The 14,361-nt window shown below is 40.3% G+C and overlaps 1 long non-coding RNA gene across 7 annotated transcripts in view; it reads left to right on the top strand.

Moving 5' to 3' along the window:
• Nucleotides 1-14,361, top strand: part of SLC44A3-AS1 (SLC44A3 antisense RNA 1) — a 203,881-nt gene that overhangs the window by 1,148 nt on the left and 188,372 nt on the right. The window lies entirely within an intron of this gene.

Raw genomic sequence — 14,361 nt, 5'->3', positions numbered from 1 at the left:
ACGTATTAGTAATGTGCAATAGTCTAAAAGATGCAGCTGACGATGAATTAGTAATTGGAAGAGCACTTTCAGCAAACCTCCAGAGGCAGTAGAAAATGTTTTAAAAAACAAGTTAGCTTATTTGTAAATTTTCTAGCTTATATCTAGGGTAAAACTAGAACAGAAAGGAAGAAATATAAAAACAGAGAAGGGGAAATATTTGAAGATATAATGGAGATAAATTTCAAGGTAGAAAAAAACCTTCAGATTGAAAAGGTTTATCTCAAGCAAAATGTTTCTATATGTAAGTATTTAAAAGCATAACTTTGAACTTATTTTCTATTAAGCCATATTGTCATTAGAATGTGAGAATGTATTAATAATAAAAATATTCTTATGAAAGATTCATTTGAATGACATTCTTGGAGGACATAATCAAGCAAGAAGAGAAACAAATTCAGGAGATGATACAATAGATATAGCATGAGAGTGGCCAAATATTTAGGCTGAATTTATTGTTGTGTTAGAAAAAAGACCAGGAACCACCCAAGTGTCCAGGAACTGGTGGGTGGCTATACATAACTGTGATGCATCTATACGATGAAATACAACTAAGCATTAAGAAGGAACAGACTTCTTACATATGCAAAAACATGGATGATCTCAAATGCATGTTAAGTGAAAAAAAGTCAGATATAATAAGCTACTCTATGATTCCATTTATGTGACATTCTGGAAAAGGCAGAAAATAGATCAATGGTTGTCAGGTGCTGGGGGTGAAGGGAATCTGGAGAAACTTTCTGAAGTGATGGAAATATTCCATTATCTTGAGAATGGTACTGATGACCCAGTGGTATCTGTTTGTCAAAATTTGTAGAACTGTACACTAGAAAAGGTGAATTTTATTGTATGTAAACTGTATTTCATTAAACCTGACTTACAAAAACTCTTTTCAAAAGTCTAAAAACAAAGAACAGTGTATTTATAATGATTCAGACCTAAAATTATAGACAATATCAATATTGTGAGGGGTGTGGGACTCAGGAATGAGAGGCCAAAATGATAGGACAGTGATCTAAAATAGTGCCATTCAAAGGGTGGTTCACAAAACTTAATTGTTCTCTAAGAGATAAGGAGCTTGTACCAGAATGCATATCAGCTATGTCATAAGCAAACTCTTTGATTCAGCTGACACTTTCGTAGCAAGACTTTCTCAATGAAGGAAGCTGTGTGTTGATTTACATGTGGGCTCAAATCTCATTCTGGAATGGATGAGATAAGTAACCCAGTACTACTTAGAGTACTTAGAGTAGTACTGGGTTAAATTACTATCATATGGGAGGAAGACGAAAAAAATTGTTAACTTTAATAAATCAATAGGGATAAATATTTGTGAATGTAGGTCTTAAGGGTAACTACCGTTAAAAAAGAATAAAACATGTAACTTTTAAAGCAGTGGAAGAAAATTTTATCAAATGAAAGGCAAGAGAGCAGAGGAAAAAGGAATAAAAAGAAAGTGCAATAATTAGAATATATGAAATTTGATAGCAGAAATAAAATTACTAATAATAATTTTTACTTTCAGTGTACCTAATATGTTCCAGATACTTTTCTGGGTGTTTCTTATTTGATCCTCATAATAACCTTATGAGGAAGGTACTATTACTTTCATCATCCTCATTTTATAGATGATGAAACTGAGATTAACTAACTTGCTAGAAAGTGGCAGAACCAAGGCCTGAACCCAGGTGGTCTGGATCTAGAACCCATACTTAGAACCATACTTAGAGCTATTCTATGCTGCCTCCTAAATAGAGCAGCAATTACAATAAATGTAAGTGGCTTAAACTAACCAATTAAGAAAAACAGTCTTTCAAATTGAATGAAAGCAAGGGATTCAGCAATATGTTTTCTACAAGAAACTTGTGTAAAACAGACACTAAAAGGTTAAAAGGCTTGAAAAGGATATAGTGCAAATGTGAACCAAAGAAAGCTCATGTAGTAATTTTAAAACCTGACAAAATAAAACTTAAGATAGAAAGTTCATAAGGGAGGTCATAAATGTGCCCAACAATACAGCTTTAATATTTATTAAGCAGCAGCTAACAGAAATTTAGGCAGAAACAGATAAATCAGAATTATAGTTGGAGATTTTTAACTGGCTCCTCTCAGTATCCAATAGATCAAGTAGACAGTAGATACTTCCTCTCCTCTCCCAACACACATACACACAGAAAGCAAATATACAAGGTCTGTACAATTTAATTAATAAACTTGAGCCATTAGATATTTATAACTCATATACGTTTCCATCAAACAGTGAATACATGTCCTTTCTCTTTTCAGGTACATGTGAAACATTAAAGTAAAAACATAAACTGTGTATTAGATCTTAAAGGGAGGCTCAATAAATTTCACAGTGCAATAAAATTAGAAGTAATGAATAACAGTATGTGTGGTGGACAGATTTTAAGGCCCCTATGATTTCCACCTCCTGGTGTTTACACCCTTATGTAGTTCCCTTCTTCAGATATGGGTGGGACCTGTACCTTTCAACCAATTATGATGGTTAATTTTATGTATTATTTTGAATAGGTCAGCCATAGGGTATCCAGATATTTGGTCAAACATTATTCTGGGTATTTCTGTGAGTGTGTTTCTGGATGAGATTAGCATTTAAATTGGTGGACTGAGTAAAGCAGCTTTCCCTCTCTAATGTATGTGGGCCTCATCCAATCAGTTGAAGGCCTGAATAGAACAAAAGGCTGACTCCACCCACCTAGTAAGAGGATTTTCCTGCCTGATGGCCTTAGAACTGGGATATTGGCTGTCCGTCTACAGCATCCTAGTGGTCTTTGGACTTGAACTGGAACATTGACATTTCCTTGTTCTACAGCAGCTTCTAGCCTTTGGACTTAAATTAGAACACTGGTTTTGCAGATTTTGGATTTGCCAGCCTCCATAATCCCATGAGAGTCAATTCATTATAATAAATCTCTTTATAATATCTATCAGTCTGTCTATCTTATCTATCAATCATCCATCCATCCATCCTATTGGTTCTGCTTCTCTGAAGACCCCTAATACACCAAAAATACACGGTAAATGTGATGGAAAGTCATTCCCATGATTACATGACATTACAAAAGAAAGAGAACCCAGTTAGATTGTGCCCAGACTCCTGACCAACAGAAACTATAAGATAATAAATGCATGTTGTTTTAAGTCACTACATATGTGGTAATTTTTCACATACAATAAATAATACAGCAGATGTATTAGTTCATTCTTGCATTACTATAAAGAAATACCCGAGACTGGGTAATTTATAAAGAAAAGAGTTTTAATTGGCTCACAGTTCTGCATGCTATACAGGAAGTTTAGTGGCTTCTGCTTCTTGGGAGGCCTCAGGAAACTTACATTCATGGTGGAAGGCGAAGGGGAAGCAGGCATGTCTTACATGGCTGGAGCAGGAGAGAGACATGGGGAAGGTGCAATATACTTTTAAATGACCAGATCCCACAATAACTCACTATTATGAAAATAGCACTGAGGGGATGGTGCTAACCCATTCATGAGAACTCAGCCCCTATGATCCAATCACCTCCCACCAATTTGGGGATTACAATTTGACATGAAATTTGGGTGGAGACACAGACCCAAACCATATCAGCAGAATAGCAAAAAACAAACAAAACCCACAAACAAACAGAAACCAAAAACTACCCAAACCTCATTTGGAAACCAAAAAACATCTTACTAGACAACATCCTTGAGTCATAAAGGAAATTAAGAAATATTTAAAATTGAATGTTAATAAAAATTCTACATGTCAAATTGGGACACAGCTAAAACACCAGTTAGATGGAACTGTATGGGTTATATCTATCAGGAAACAAAAGGTTAAAAATAAAGTAGCTAAGCATTCAACACAAGAAGCAACAGCATACACAGTGAAACAAGAAGAAAGGCAATAATAAAGATATGGGCAGAAATCAGTGACACAGAGAAAAGTAGAGAAGATGAATAAAACAGAAGTCAGTCCCATGGAAAAGATTAAAAGACCAAACTTTGGCAAGACTGATCAGGAAAAAAGAGGAAAGACTCAAAATAAGACAGAATAATGGAGGAAATAACAAAATATATTAAAACATTTAAAAAGTGTTATGAGCCCTAATATACGTAAACCTAAATAAAATGGTTATGTTCCTAAAAATGTAAAATGCCATAATTGATATAAGAAGAAATAGAGAATTTGAATAAACCACTAAATGTTTGGTAAATTGAAATGGCAGCCAAATATCTCTCCTAAACTCCCCCCACCCCAACTCAGATCTAGAGGCTTTTAAGGGACTTTTAAGAAACAGTTAATTTCTATAACATACAAGTTGCTCCAGAAATAGAAATAGAGCAAAATTTGCTCTGGTCATTTTATGAGGCCAGCATCAACCTGATACCAAAACCAAGTAAAGATTGTACTGGAGAAAAAGAAAAGGAAGAAAGAACTATTATTACACTTGTGAACTAAGATGTCATTTCAGATAAATTTATTATTTGTTTTAAAAAAATCCAGTTTTAGGAATTTCCTAAAAACCTATTAGAGCAATAGGCTCTAATGGTTAATAGCTGTCATCAGGATAATACGTAGATCACTCAACTGGGTTACCACATGACTGTGCCCTTCAAAACTCGCTTCAACTTCCTACCCTTCATTGTTCTCGCCAGTTCTCAACTTATTATATAACAAACTGGCCAATTAAATCAGCATCCCTGCCTTGAAAAACCCATCTTATGCCAGACCCTAAAACCCTTGTAAATATCCCATCCTTGAAATACATTGAATATGTCTATATTCATAAATTCTCAATAATACCAAATGAAAATAAATCCTTATTGATTGCCTCTAGAAAATTCTAGGGACCAACTCATTTCAAAAACTTAAAGGGAAAGAATCAAACACATATTCTACCTCTCTTATACGAACAATACTTAAGGGTAATCAAATAATCAATGAGGGAAGTTTCTCTTAATAGACATATTGTGGCTTATAGAAGCAGAAGGAATAAAAGAATTAGGATATCACAGTTTTCCAAACATCATAAAAGAGGGGCAGTCAGCCATCAACCTCCTCCCAGGGAAGAACGTATCGCTGCCTGTGAAATTGTCATGCCAGAAAAATCCAGTGGAATCTGACTACCAACTTTGCTATAAATATAGGAAATAGAGGAACAAGTCAAATGACATCTCAGGGATGCCACCGGCAAAATCAAGAATGGGAAAATCGATTTTGACATTGTGTTTTGACAACAATCTCCACCACAACAGCAAAAAGATAACAAGAAAGAAAAGAGTATGTGGAAAACCTACAGATTAAAGGAAACCAATATTTTAACTAATTACAATGTGTGGACATTGTTTAGATCCAGATTAAACCAAATGAAAAAATGAAAGATCATTTAGAGGACACTGTAGGAAATGTAAGCAGTGATTGGATGTTTGATGATATTAACTAATTTATATTAAAGAATTTGGGGGTCTGATGATGGCACTGGGGCTAAGTCTAAAATAAGGGAGTCTTTATCTTTTAGATTTACATACCAAAAATGATATGCTCTCTGGGATTTGCTTTTTAAAAAATCCAGGGCAAAGGAGAATGGTTGGAGGTATGGGGAAACAAGATTGACTATCCATTGATAATTGCTGAAGTTCATTAAACTTCGTTAAATTGCTGGGGGTTCATTAAACTATTTTCTCTACTTTTGTTATTTTTCTAACTTTACACACAGACACACACGATGACTGTAGGGTCCGACCTGCAGACCCTGACCCAGCAACGAATGAGAGACATACACTAACACAGCTGTCAGTCCAGCTAAGGGGCTCTGTTCTGAGTCTGGAGCATTGCCCCATAAGCTGGCAAAGTTTGCATTTATTTAGTACAGATTAAATGACAAAGGTCTTGAGTAAACACCACTAGAGGGTAATTAACATTGCCGACCCCCCCACCCCCCAGCAGAGAGCAATTATGCACCTGAGGTTGATCAGTTTGGTCTTAGGACCACAAGAGTAAACAAGCTATTTCAACTCCACACATTCCCTTGTTGTTTGCTTTTTTGCTATCAACTAAAGGTAAAGAGGATTAGGCTGCCTTCAGCCAAATCTGGTACTGAAGCCATGCAAACCCCCCAGCCTTCCAGGAGGGTTTGTGTTTATTTTCTATAACTATCTTTATAATTTTTCCTCTACAATTTTTCCCACCACCCTGACTGTACTCCCACAGATGATGACAATGCATGCCACCTCCTGAGCTTCCACTTGGGAAGTAGACATGCTTAACACTTCTGTATGGATGCACCTGCTCTTGAACATACCTACCTTGTTTCTTTTGTTTCTGCCTTTTTTTTTTTTACTCCCCTCTACCCCCCACAGCTTGGGCACTCATGCCTGACCCTCTCTATTCCTCACTGAGGCAACATCATTACTTAGCCTTAGGATCATTGTATCTCCAGATCTATTGGCTCAGCTAAGGTGCCAAGCTCTCACAGTTTCCCACCCTCAATCTCTTCACTCCAACCCCATGCAGGCCCCTGGAGCTTCTGTAGCACTTTGGCCTTAACAGTTTTTCCTCTTCTCTGTGTGTTTCTTCATCCTATACCTCACATTCCCCTCCTGCCCATCTGTTCCTAACTTTCTCATGATTTTCATGTTTGTCTTATATTCTAATCTGCATCTCTTCCAAAGGCCTTTGGCACCTTTTTCTAAAACTTCTAGGTGCTCTCTGAAGATGTTGAGATCTTGCTTCTGTCCCAATCTGGTCACACAAAGATGCAGTTAGGGCCACTCAGGTTGCCTGCTTTGCTTTCAAGTGTCTGACTATTACCTCTTTGGGGCAGGTCTCCCAGATGCAGACTGAAGCTTGACCTAAGCTTCAGCCTGTGAATCTTATTGACACTGTACTTTGGGGCCAGCACTAAGAAAGGCCAGAACTTCCCACCCTTCATCCCACTTTTCCCAGGCTTCCTTACCCTCCTCATCAGCTCCTGTGGCTGAGTTCCCACCATGCTTTGGGCCTGATGCCCTCTGGATAAAATACCATGATGTTAGACTCTGATGGAGCAATTTCTCGTCCCAGACTAAGAAGGGGCTCACCTTACAAGAGTCAGTTATCAGAGGCTCCAGTGCGGGCAGGATCACTGACTCAGAAGGACCAGATCCTTCCCCATCTTGCCTTTCCTGTCAGCCATGGGGGCTTGTACCTCAGACTGGAAGCCAGAGATGAGATGAAGGATGCAAGAGGTCTTGGGTCTTTGTACTTGGTCCAGAAATGGCCCAAGATATACTGGATAGATAAGGAGGCACTGGGGAGCACTTGGCTGAGACAGGGAGGGAGGTGGGGGGAAGGAAACCAAGCAAGGTGTGTGTGCAAAGGACTCCCAGCTCTTTAAATCTGGATCCTGGTCATTTCAGGATGAGGAAGTTTCAGCCTCAGAAGACCTTCTTTTCTCCTTGAAATCTTTGGATTAGAAATCTGGTCTCTGGGGGAACCTTGATTAATTTTAGCCTATCTTTATTCAACAGGGATTGACTCAGCACTTGCTTTGTGCCAGGACTTGGGCCAACTCAAGGGGCACGAACACCAAGAAGGAATATTTGCCCACTCCAGCGAGGTCAAGCTCAGTTGAGGGTTAATGATGAGGCAGGCTGATGCGGGTTCTTTGCCCAGTCCCAGGGTTCCAAGAAGCCTTCCTGGGAGAGGGGGCCTGAGTTGAATGGTGCAAGATGAACAAGAAATGGCAAGATAGAGAAAGGTGGGGAGGGCTTCCCAGGCAGAAGAGAGAGCATGGCTAAAGGGCTAGGGGCATGGAGCAGCAGGGGACCCCCAGCCATGTAGTATCACTGGAGGATGAAAATAAGGGGGAGAAGGAGGGAGGGAGAGAAGGTATACTTCTGAGGGCAGAACTAACTCAGCCGTTAGGGCCCAGCATGCCACACCAAGAAGCCGTTTGCCTTTCTGTGATTGTATCTTTCTCATTTGCTCCCACTTTGTAGAACAGCTTTTAGAAAATGCTACCCTGTCTTGGTTGTGCTCAAAGGACTGGAAGGAGAGGGGCTTGTGTTCCCCTTGTACCTCTGAAGAGCAGGGAGCAAGGGTAGGCTTGGTGGGGGCAGCAAGATTCCAGCAGGAAAATACTTTTTTTTTTTTTTTTTGAGATGAAGTTTCGTTCCGTTGCCCAGGCTGGAGTGCAATGGCACGATCTCAGCTTACTGCAACTTCCGCCTCCCAGGTTCAACTATTTCTCCTGCCTCAGCCTCCCAAGTAGCTGGGATTACAGGCATGCTCCACCACATCTGGCTAATTTTTGTATTTTTAGTAGAGATGGGGTTTTGTCATGTTGGCCAGGCTGGTCTCGAACTCCTGACCTCAGATAATCCACCTGCCTTGGCCTCCCAAAGTGCTGGGATTACAGGTGTGAGCCACCATGCCCAGCCCCAGCAGGAAAATTCTTATGGGGAGGTGAGGCAAGGGAACAGTATAGCCACCAGGCTCCCTTCTTAAATGTGTTCCTTGGAACACAGTCTCTCCTTTAGCCCTGAGGGACTTTCAGTTTGGTTAAAAAATATTTTTTAGTTACAAAAGATTATATATGTCACATTACATTATTTATGTTAATATATTCTTTTGCATATATCAAACATTGCATAATAAAAACTGTAGTACACATGGGGTATATACTAAGTTATAAGGCATAATGACATGAACACACCTAAACTCACTACCCAATTAAATAACTAGAATATTCCCATAATGCTTCTCCTTGGACACAACTCCTGCTAAGCTTTCAATCTCAGAGGTAACCACTGTTCTCAGTTTTGTTTACCCCCTTACTTAAACATACCTTTTTTTTTTTTTTTTTGAGACGGAGTCTCACTCTGTCACTCAGGCTGGAATGCAGTGGTGTGATCTTGGCTCACTGCAACCTCTGCCTCCTGGGTTCAAGTGATTCTTGTGCTTCAGCCTCCTGAGTAGCTGGGATTACAGGCACGCACCACCACGCCCGGCTAATTTTTGTATTCTTAGTAGAGACGGGGTTTTGCTGTGTAGGCTAGACTGGTTTCAAACTCCTGACCTCAGGTGATCTGCCCGCCTCGGCCTCCCAAAGTGCTGGGATTACAGGCATGAGCCACCGCGCCCAGCCTACTTAAACATACTTATTATTTTAGATTATTTCACTCCTTAAATAACATAATTTAGTTTGCTTTTTAGGGGATATTACAAAAAATGATGGTGTATGGTAGGGAGTCATCTGGAACTTTTTAACTCTACACTTTTTTTTAATGTGTGATTTTAAAGTTGAGGTTGGCTAAACATTTGGAATTTATGGACATAAAGATGGCAACAATAGAAACTAGGGACTATTGGGGGAGTGAACGAGGAGAGCAAGGATTAGAAAACTAACTACTGGTTATTATGCTTATTACCTGAGTAATGGGATCATTTGTACCTCAAACCTCAGCATCATGCAATATGCCCAGGTGACAAACCTGCACATGTACCCTCTAAATCTAAAATAAAAGTTAAAAAAGGCCAGGTGCAGTGGCTAATGCCTGTAATACCAGCCTTGTGGGAGGCTGAGAGGGAGGATTGCTTGAGGCCAGGAATGCAAGACCAGCCTGGGGAGCATAGCAAGACCCTGTCTCTTGCTCTCTCTTTTTTTAAGTTTAAAAAAATAAAAATAAAATAAAATTGAGGTTGGTTCTTTATAGACTAAACCAAACAATCTAACCATAGACTCTCTGACCATAGTATAGAAGGATAGAACAGTCAGACTGCTAAGTCCTTGAATTCTACTGAAGATAAGATGTATGAACTGCTGGGGACTGGTTGGTCTAATTTGTTGGCTTTCTTTTGTCTCACCATTTCCATTTAGTTGGATATTAGTGGTGTTTTTATGTTAATCACATCTATTGTCTCCTACATTTCTGCATTTGTGCAGGGCAGAGCCTTCCTATGAACAACCTCAAGAAATTTCCTACTTACCTTCACCAAGCATTTCTACCTGTGTCTGGGATGCCTCTTGCTGAAGCACTTGCTGGCACTCTGAGACACTCTGAGTACCAGTCTTGAGAGACCATTTTCTTCTTTCTGTGTCTTTTAATGAGTAATGAGAGTTCTAGCAGGAAGGCATTTCAAATTATTCTTTTATGGTGCTGGAGACTGAACAGAAGGGAGATTATGACCTGGTCTCTCTTGCATGTTCTGAGGAACGGTAGACCTGGAGGCGCTATTGAAAAAAATATCCTGTGGTTAGATATGGTTTAGAAATATTGTTCTGTATCCCATTTATTGCAGTGTTCATCAGTATACTAGAGATTTGACCAAAGTACCCGTGTGTGTGTGTGTGTGGTGTGTGTAACAAGTATTAACACTGGCCAAAAAAAAAAAAAAACGCAGCAGTTCTGGGTAGTGCTGTTAAAGACTACATTTTTTGACGACATGGACAACTTAATTTGTTTTGAAATATGCAGGGTCTTAGGTAAGTGGGTGGAATGATTGTCAAGGCACTTGAAAAGCCCTCCTCTCTCGTGCCTACCCTACCTGATTAATGTACCTAAAATGCTGTCTTAGAGAGGACAACTTTTTAACACACATTGGAGAAAAAATTAAAATACAAATGGCCCTGGGAGAGGGCATTTGAGTAATAAATCCATAATAAGATGTAAATGACTAATGCCAGATACGTTTCTTATCTCAGGTTTTTAGAGGAAGAGAGCTACACCACAAGGCCACCAGGGCTTCTGAAGGCTGAGAGCAGTGTCATGAAAGGCAGGGCAGGGGCCCACAGGTCAAACCGCAGCCTCTGTTTATCTTTCCCAGAGCCAGCTTACTGCAACATTCAGTGAATTTTATGACCTGCAATGTTCATTTGTTTAACTGGAAATGTAAAACTACATTTTCATTTTTTTTCTTTTTTTGAGATGGAGTCTCACTCTGTCGCCCAGGCTGTAGTGCAGTGGCAACCTCCACCGCCCAGGTTCAAGTGATTCTCCTGCCTCAGCCTCCTGAGTAGCCGGGATTACAGGTGCCTGCTACCACGTCCAGCTAATTTTGTATTTTTAGGAGAGACGCAGTATCACCACATTGGCCAGGCTGATCTTGAACTCCTGACCTCGTGATCTACCCACCTCGGCCTCCCAAGGTGCTGGGATTACAGGCGTGAGCCACCACACCTGGCCTATGTTTACATTTTGACTGCCAAGATACCATCTATTTTTGTTTTTTGCCAAATATCTGAAATAAATGTCAACATTTTTTTTTTTTGAGACGGAGCCTCGCTCTGTCCCCAGGTTGGAGTGCATTGGCACAATCTTGACTCACTGCAATCTCCACCTCCTGGGTTCAAGCAATTCCCTGCCTCAGCCTCCCGAGTAGCTGGGACTACCTGCATGCACCACCACACCCGGCTAATTTTTTGTATTTTAGTAAAGACTGGGGTTTCACCATGTTGGCCAGGATGGTCTCAATCTCCTGACCTCGTGATCTGCCCGCCTCAGCCTTCCAAAGGGCTGGGATTACAGGTGTGAGCCACCATGCCCAGCTGAATATCACCATTTTTAATAGGTACAAGTATAAGCTTCTAAAGAGGCAGGTTGAATTTTGTTTTCTAAAATTTGTTTGCATTTGGTAACCTTGTCTATTTGGAGTACATGTGTAGTGTTGTAAAAACAGGAAAACCACTAACTTCCAGCACAAATGTACAAAATTTGATGCACTATGATTTTAAATTTAGATCTTTTAAGGGGGAAGTTTGCCTATTTATCCTGAATTTTATCAGTCCAACTGTTACCAGCCATGGGTTCTTGGGCTTTTAATACAATAGAAATTGACCCGAGGCCAAAAGAGTTTTCCTAAACAAGGCTTGAGAGAGAGAGAGACTGAGTCTGGCTGGCCCTGGAGGAGTTAGAGAGGCAGTTTTAAAGGGGCTATGGTGGGAAAGTGATGTTTAGGTATGTAGAGGCGGGGAAATTTTAGCCCCTGTGCAGTTCATAACATGCTTCTTCACATGTCACATGTCTCATTAGCATGTTCAATCTTCACCCCTGGGTGTGATTTTTCCTACCATAATGAAGCTAAGGTTAAAGATTACTCCATTCTTCTGGCCTTGAGGCATGCGGGAGATAGGGTTAACTCCCTTGAGTAGGATTGATGGTGAGAGCTGCTTATTTTAGCTTCTTCAAGACCCTCCAATCAGTGGGTGTGGCGTCTTGAACAAGATTTATGGTGCAAGGTCTGAATGGTCTGATTGGGGTCCCCACCAGCTTGCAGTAAAGGTCCTTGGTGGGGCACGGGGGAGGGAGGCCCAGTCCCACGCCTACTCTGTCTCACAACAATGCTATCTTTTTCTGTTCTGAGTGAGGGAAAGCAGAAAAGGAAAGGGAGGAGGGAAAGAAGAGGAAGAGGGGAACATGGTATGAATGGAGGAGGAGCAATTACTCATCTGTGTGGAAACGAGGCACCAGCTGTAGGACATACGGCAAATTTCCTCTTTCTCTGGGTCTCTTTGTAAAATGAGAGAGGAGAGCCAGGTTTTTCTTGATCTCCTTCCAGCTCTGAAATGCTAGGATTTAAAATCACATGGCATATGTATGGAAACTAATTATCCGAAGTAAGTAGAGGGAAGAAACGCTAGCAGAAATGAGTGAAATACAAAACAAAAACGCAATACCGATGATCAATAAAAATAAAAGCTTGTTCTTTGAAAAGACTGGAAAAATAAAAAAGGCAAGCCCCTGGTAAGACAGATCAACAAAATAGGTTGTAGATAAAATGTGCAAAATACCTGGCGGGTAAGAGGTAGTCTCCTAATGACAGGGATGATGACACCACCTCCCTATTTTATTTTTATTTTTCTCTTCCATCTTCTTTATTTTTCTTCCTCTTATCTTTTACTTTTATTTGTATTTCCCCCTTTATTCCATATCCGTGACGTGGACACTGGCACTCTGAGACACCTGGGTAACGAAGAGGTTACTAGCCCTCCTGCCCTGGTAAAACCCTGGCATTGAGGGCTACTGTAGTTGCCACTTCTTTACAGCAGATGGCACTGCAGGCCAGTGGCTGTGTTGTCAAGACAAACTGTGTGGTTTTCTTCATTGATTCTAGGGTATTTTCCCTCATCTTTATTTTAATTAATTATTTTTTTTTGAGACAGGGACTTGCTCTGTTACCTAGGCTAGAGTGCAGTGGTGTGATCATAGCTCACTGTACCTTTGAACTCCTGGCTCAAGCAATCCTCCTGCCTCAACCGCCTGAGTATCTAGGACTACAGGTGTGCACCACCATGGTCAGCTAATTTTTTAATTATATTTTTTTGTAGAGAGGTGGTCTTGCTATGTTGCCCAGGCTGTTCTTGAACTCTTGGGCTCAAGCAGTCCTCCTGCCTTGGCCTCCCAAAGCTCTGGGATTACAGGTGTGAGCCACTGCACCCAGCCGACCATCTTTATGTTTTATTTTTCACAAAATGTTTAACATTTCCAAATAGTGAGGCATCTTATATTTGACATATATATTTATTGTGGTGTTTTATGCTTCCCCAAAGCTATTATTACACTGATGTCCTCATTAAATCTTACAATTGTCTTAAAATGAAAGACATTCAATATTGTTACACATCTTAGCACTGCCTGGAACAAACTGATATCCTGTATAGACTAAAAGCACTGACTGCAAGTTCTTACTGAAGAATTTTAAATGGTGCATTATTTAGTTGTCTGGAAATCACTGGACCTTTGGAATTGAGCTGACTCAGGGTTCGAAACTAGGTTCAGACAGTTGCCAACTGTGTGATCTTGGGAAAATTACTTATTCTCTGTAAGCCTCTGTTTCCCCATCTTTAAAACGGTGATAACAATGGCTAATTTGCAAAATTGTTATTGTTTGCCTATACTATAACTTGGCCCCAAAGCAACTTATTGATTTGGTTATTGTCATTAGTTTTTGGGACAGAGTCTCGCTGTGTCACCCAGGCTGAAGTGCAGTGGCGCAATCTTGGCTCATGGCAACCACTGCCTCCTGAGTTCAAGCGATTCTCCTGCCTCAGCCTCCCAAGTAGCTGGGATTACAGGCACGTGCCACCATGCTTAGCTAATTTTTTAGTAGACATAGGGTTTCACCATTTTGGCCAGGCTGGTCTCGAACTCCTGGCCTCAAGTGATCCGCCTGCCTCAGCCTCCCAAAGTGCTGGGATTATAGGCGTGAGCCTCCACTGGTTTGGTTATTATAGGTTCAATAACCCATAGCTAATGTTATATAAATTTTAAAAGCCTAGGTTAACAATGAAATAGGAAACAGACCTGTTTAATTTGTAGCAAATTAGGAGAATG

This window comes from Homo sapiens, chromosome 1 (genome assembly GCF_000001405.40).
Source record: "Homo sapiens chromosome 1, GRCh38.p14 Primary Assembly".
Taxonomy (NCBI): Eukaryota; Metazoa; Chordata; class Mammalia; order Primates; family Hominidae; genus Homo; species Homo sapiens.
Note: the sequence above shows the minus strand (reverse complement) of the source record. Positions and strands in the feature narration are given on the sequence as shown.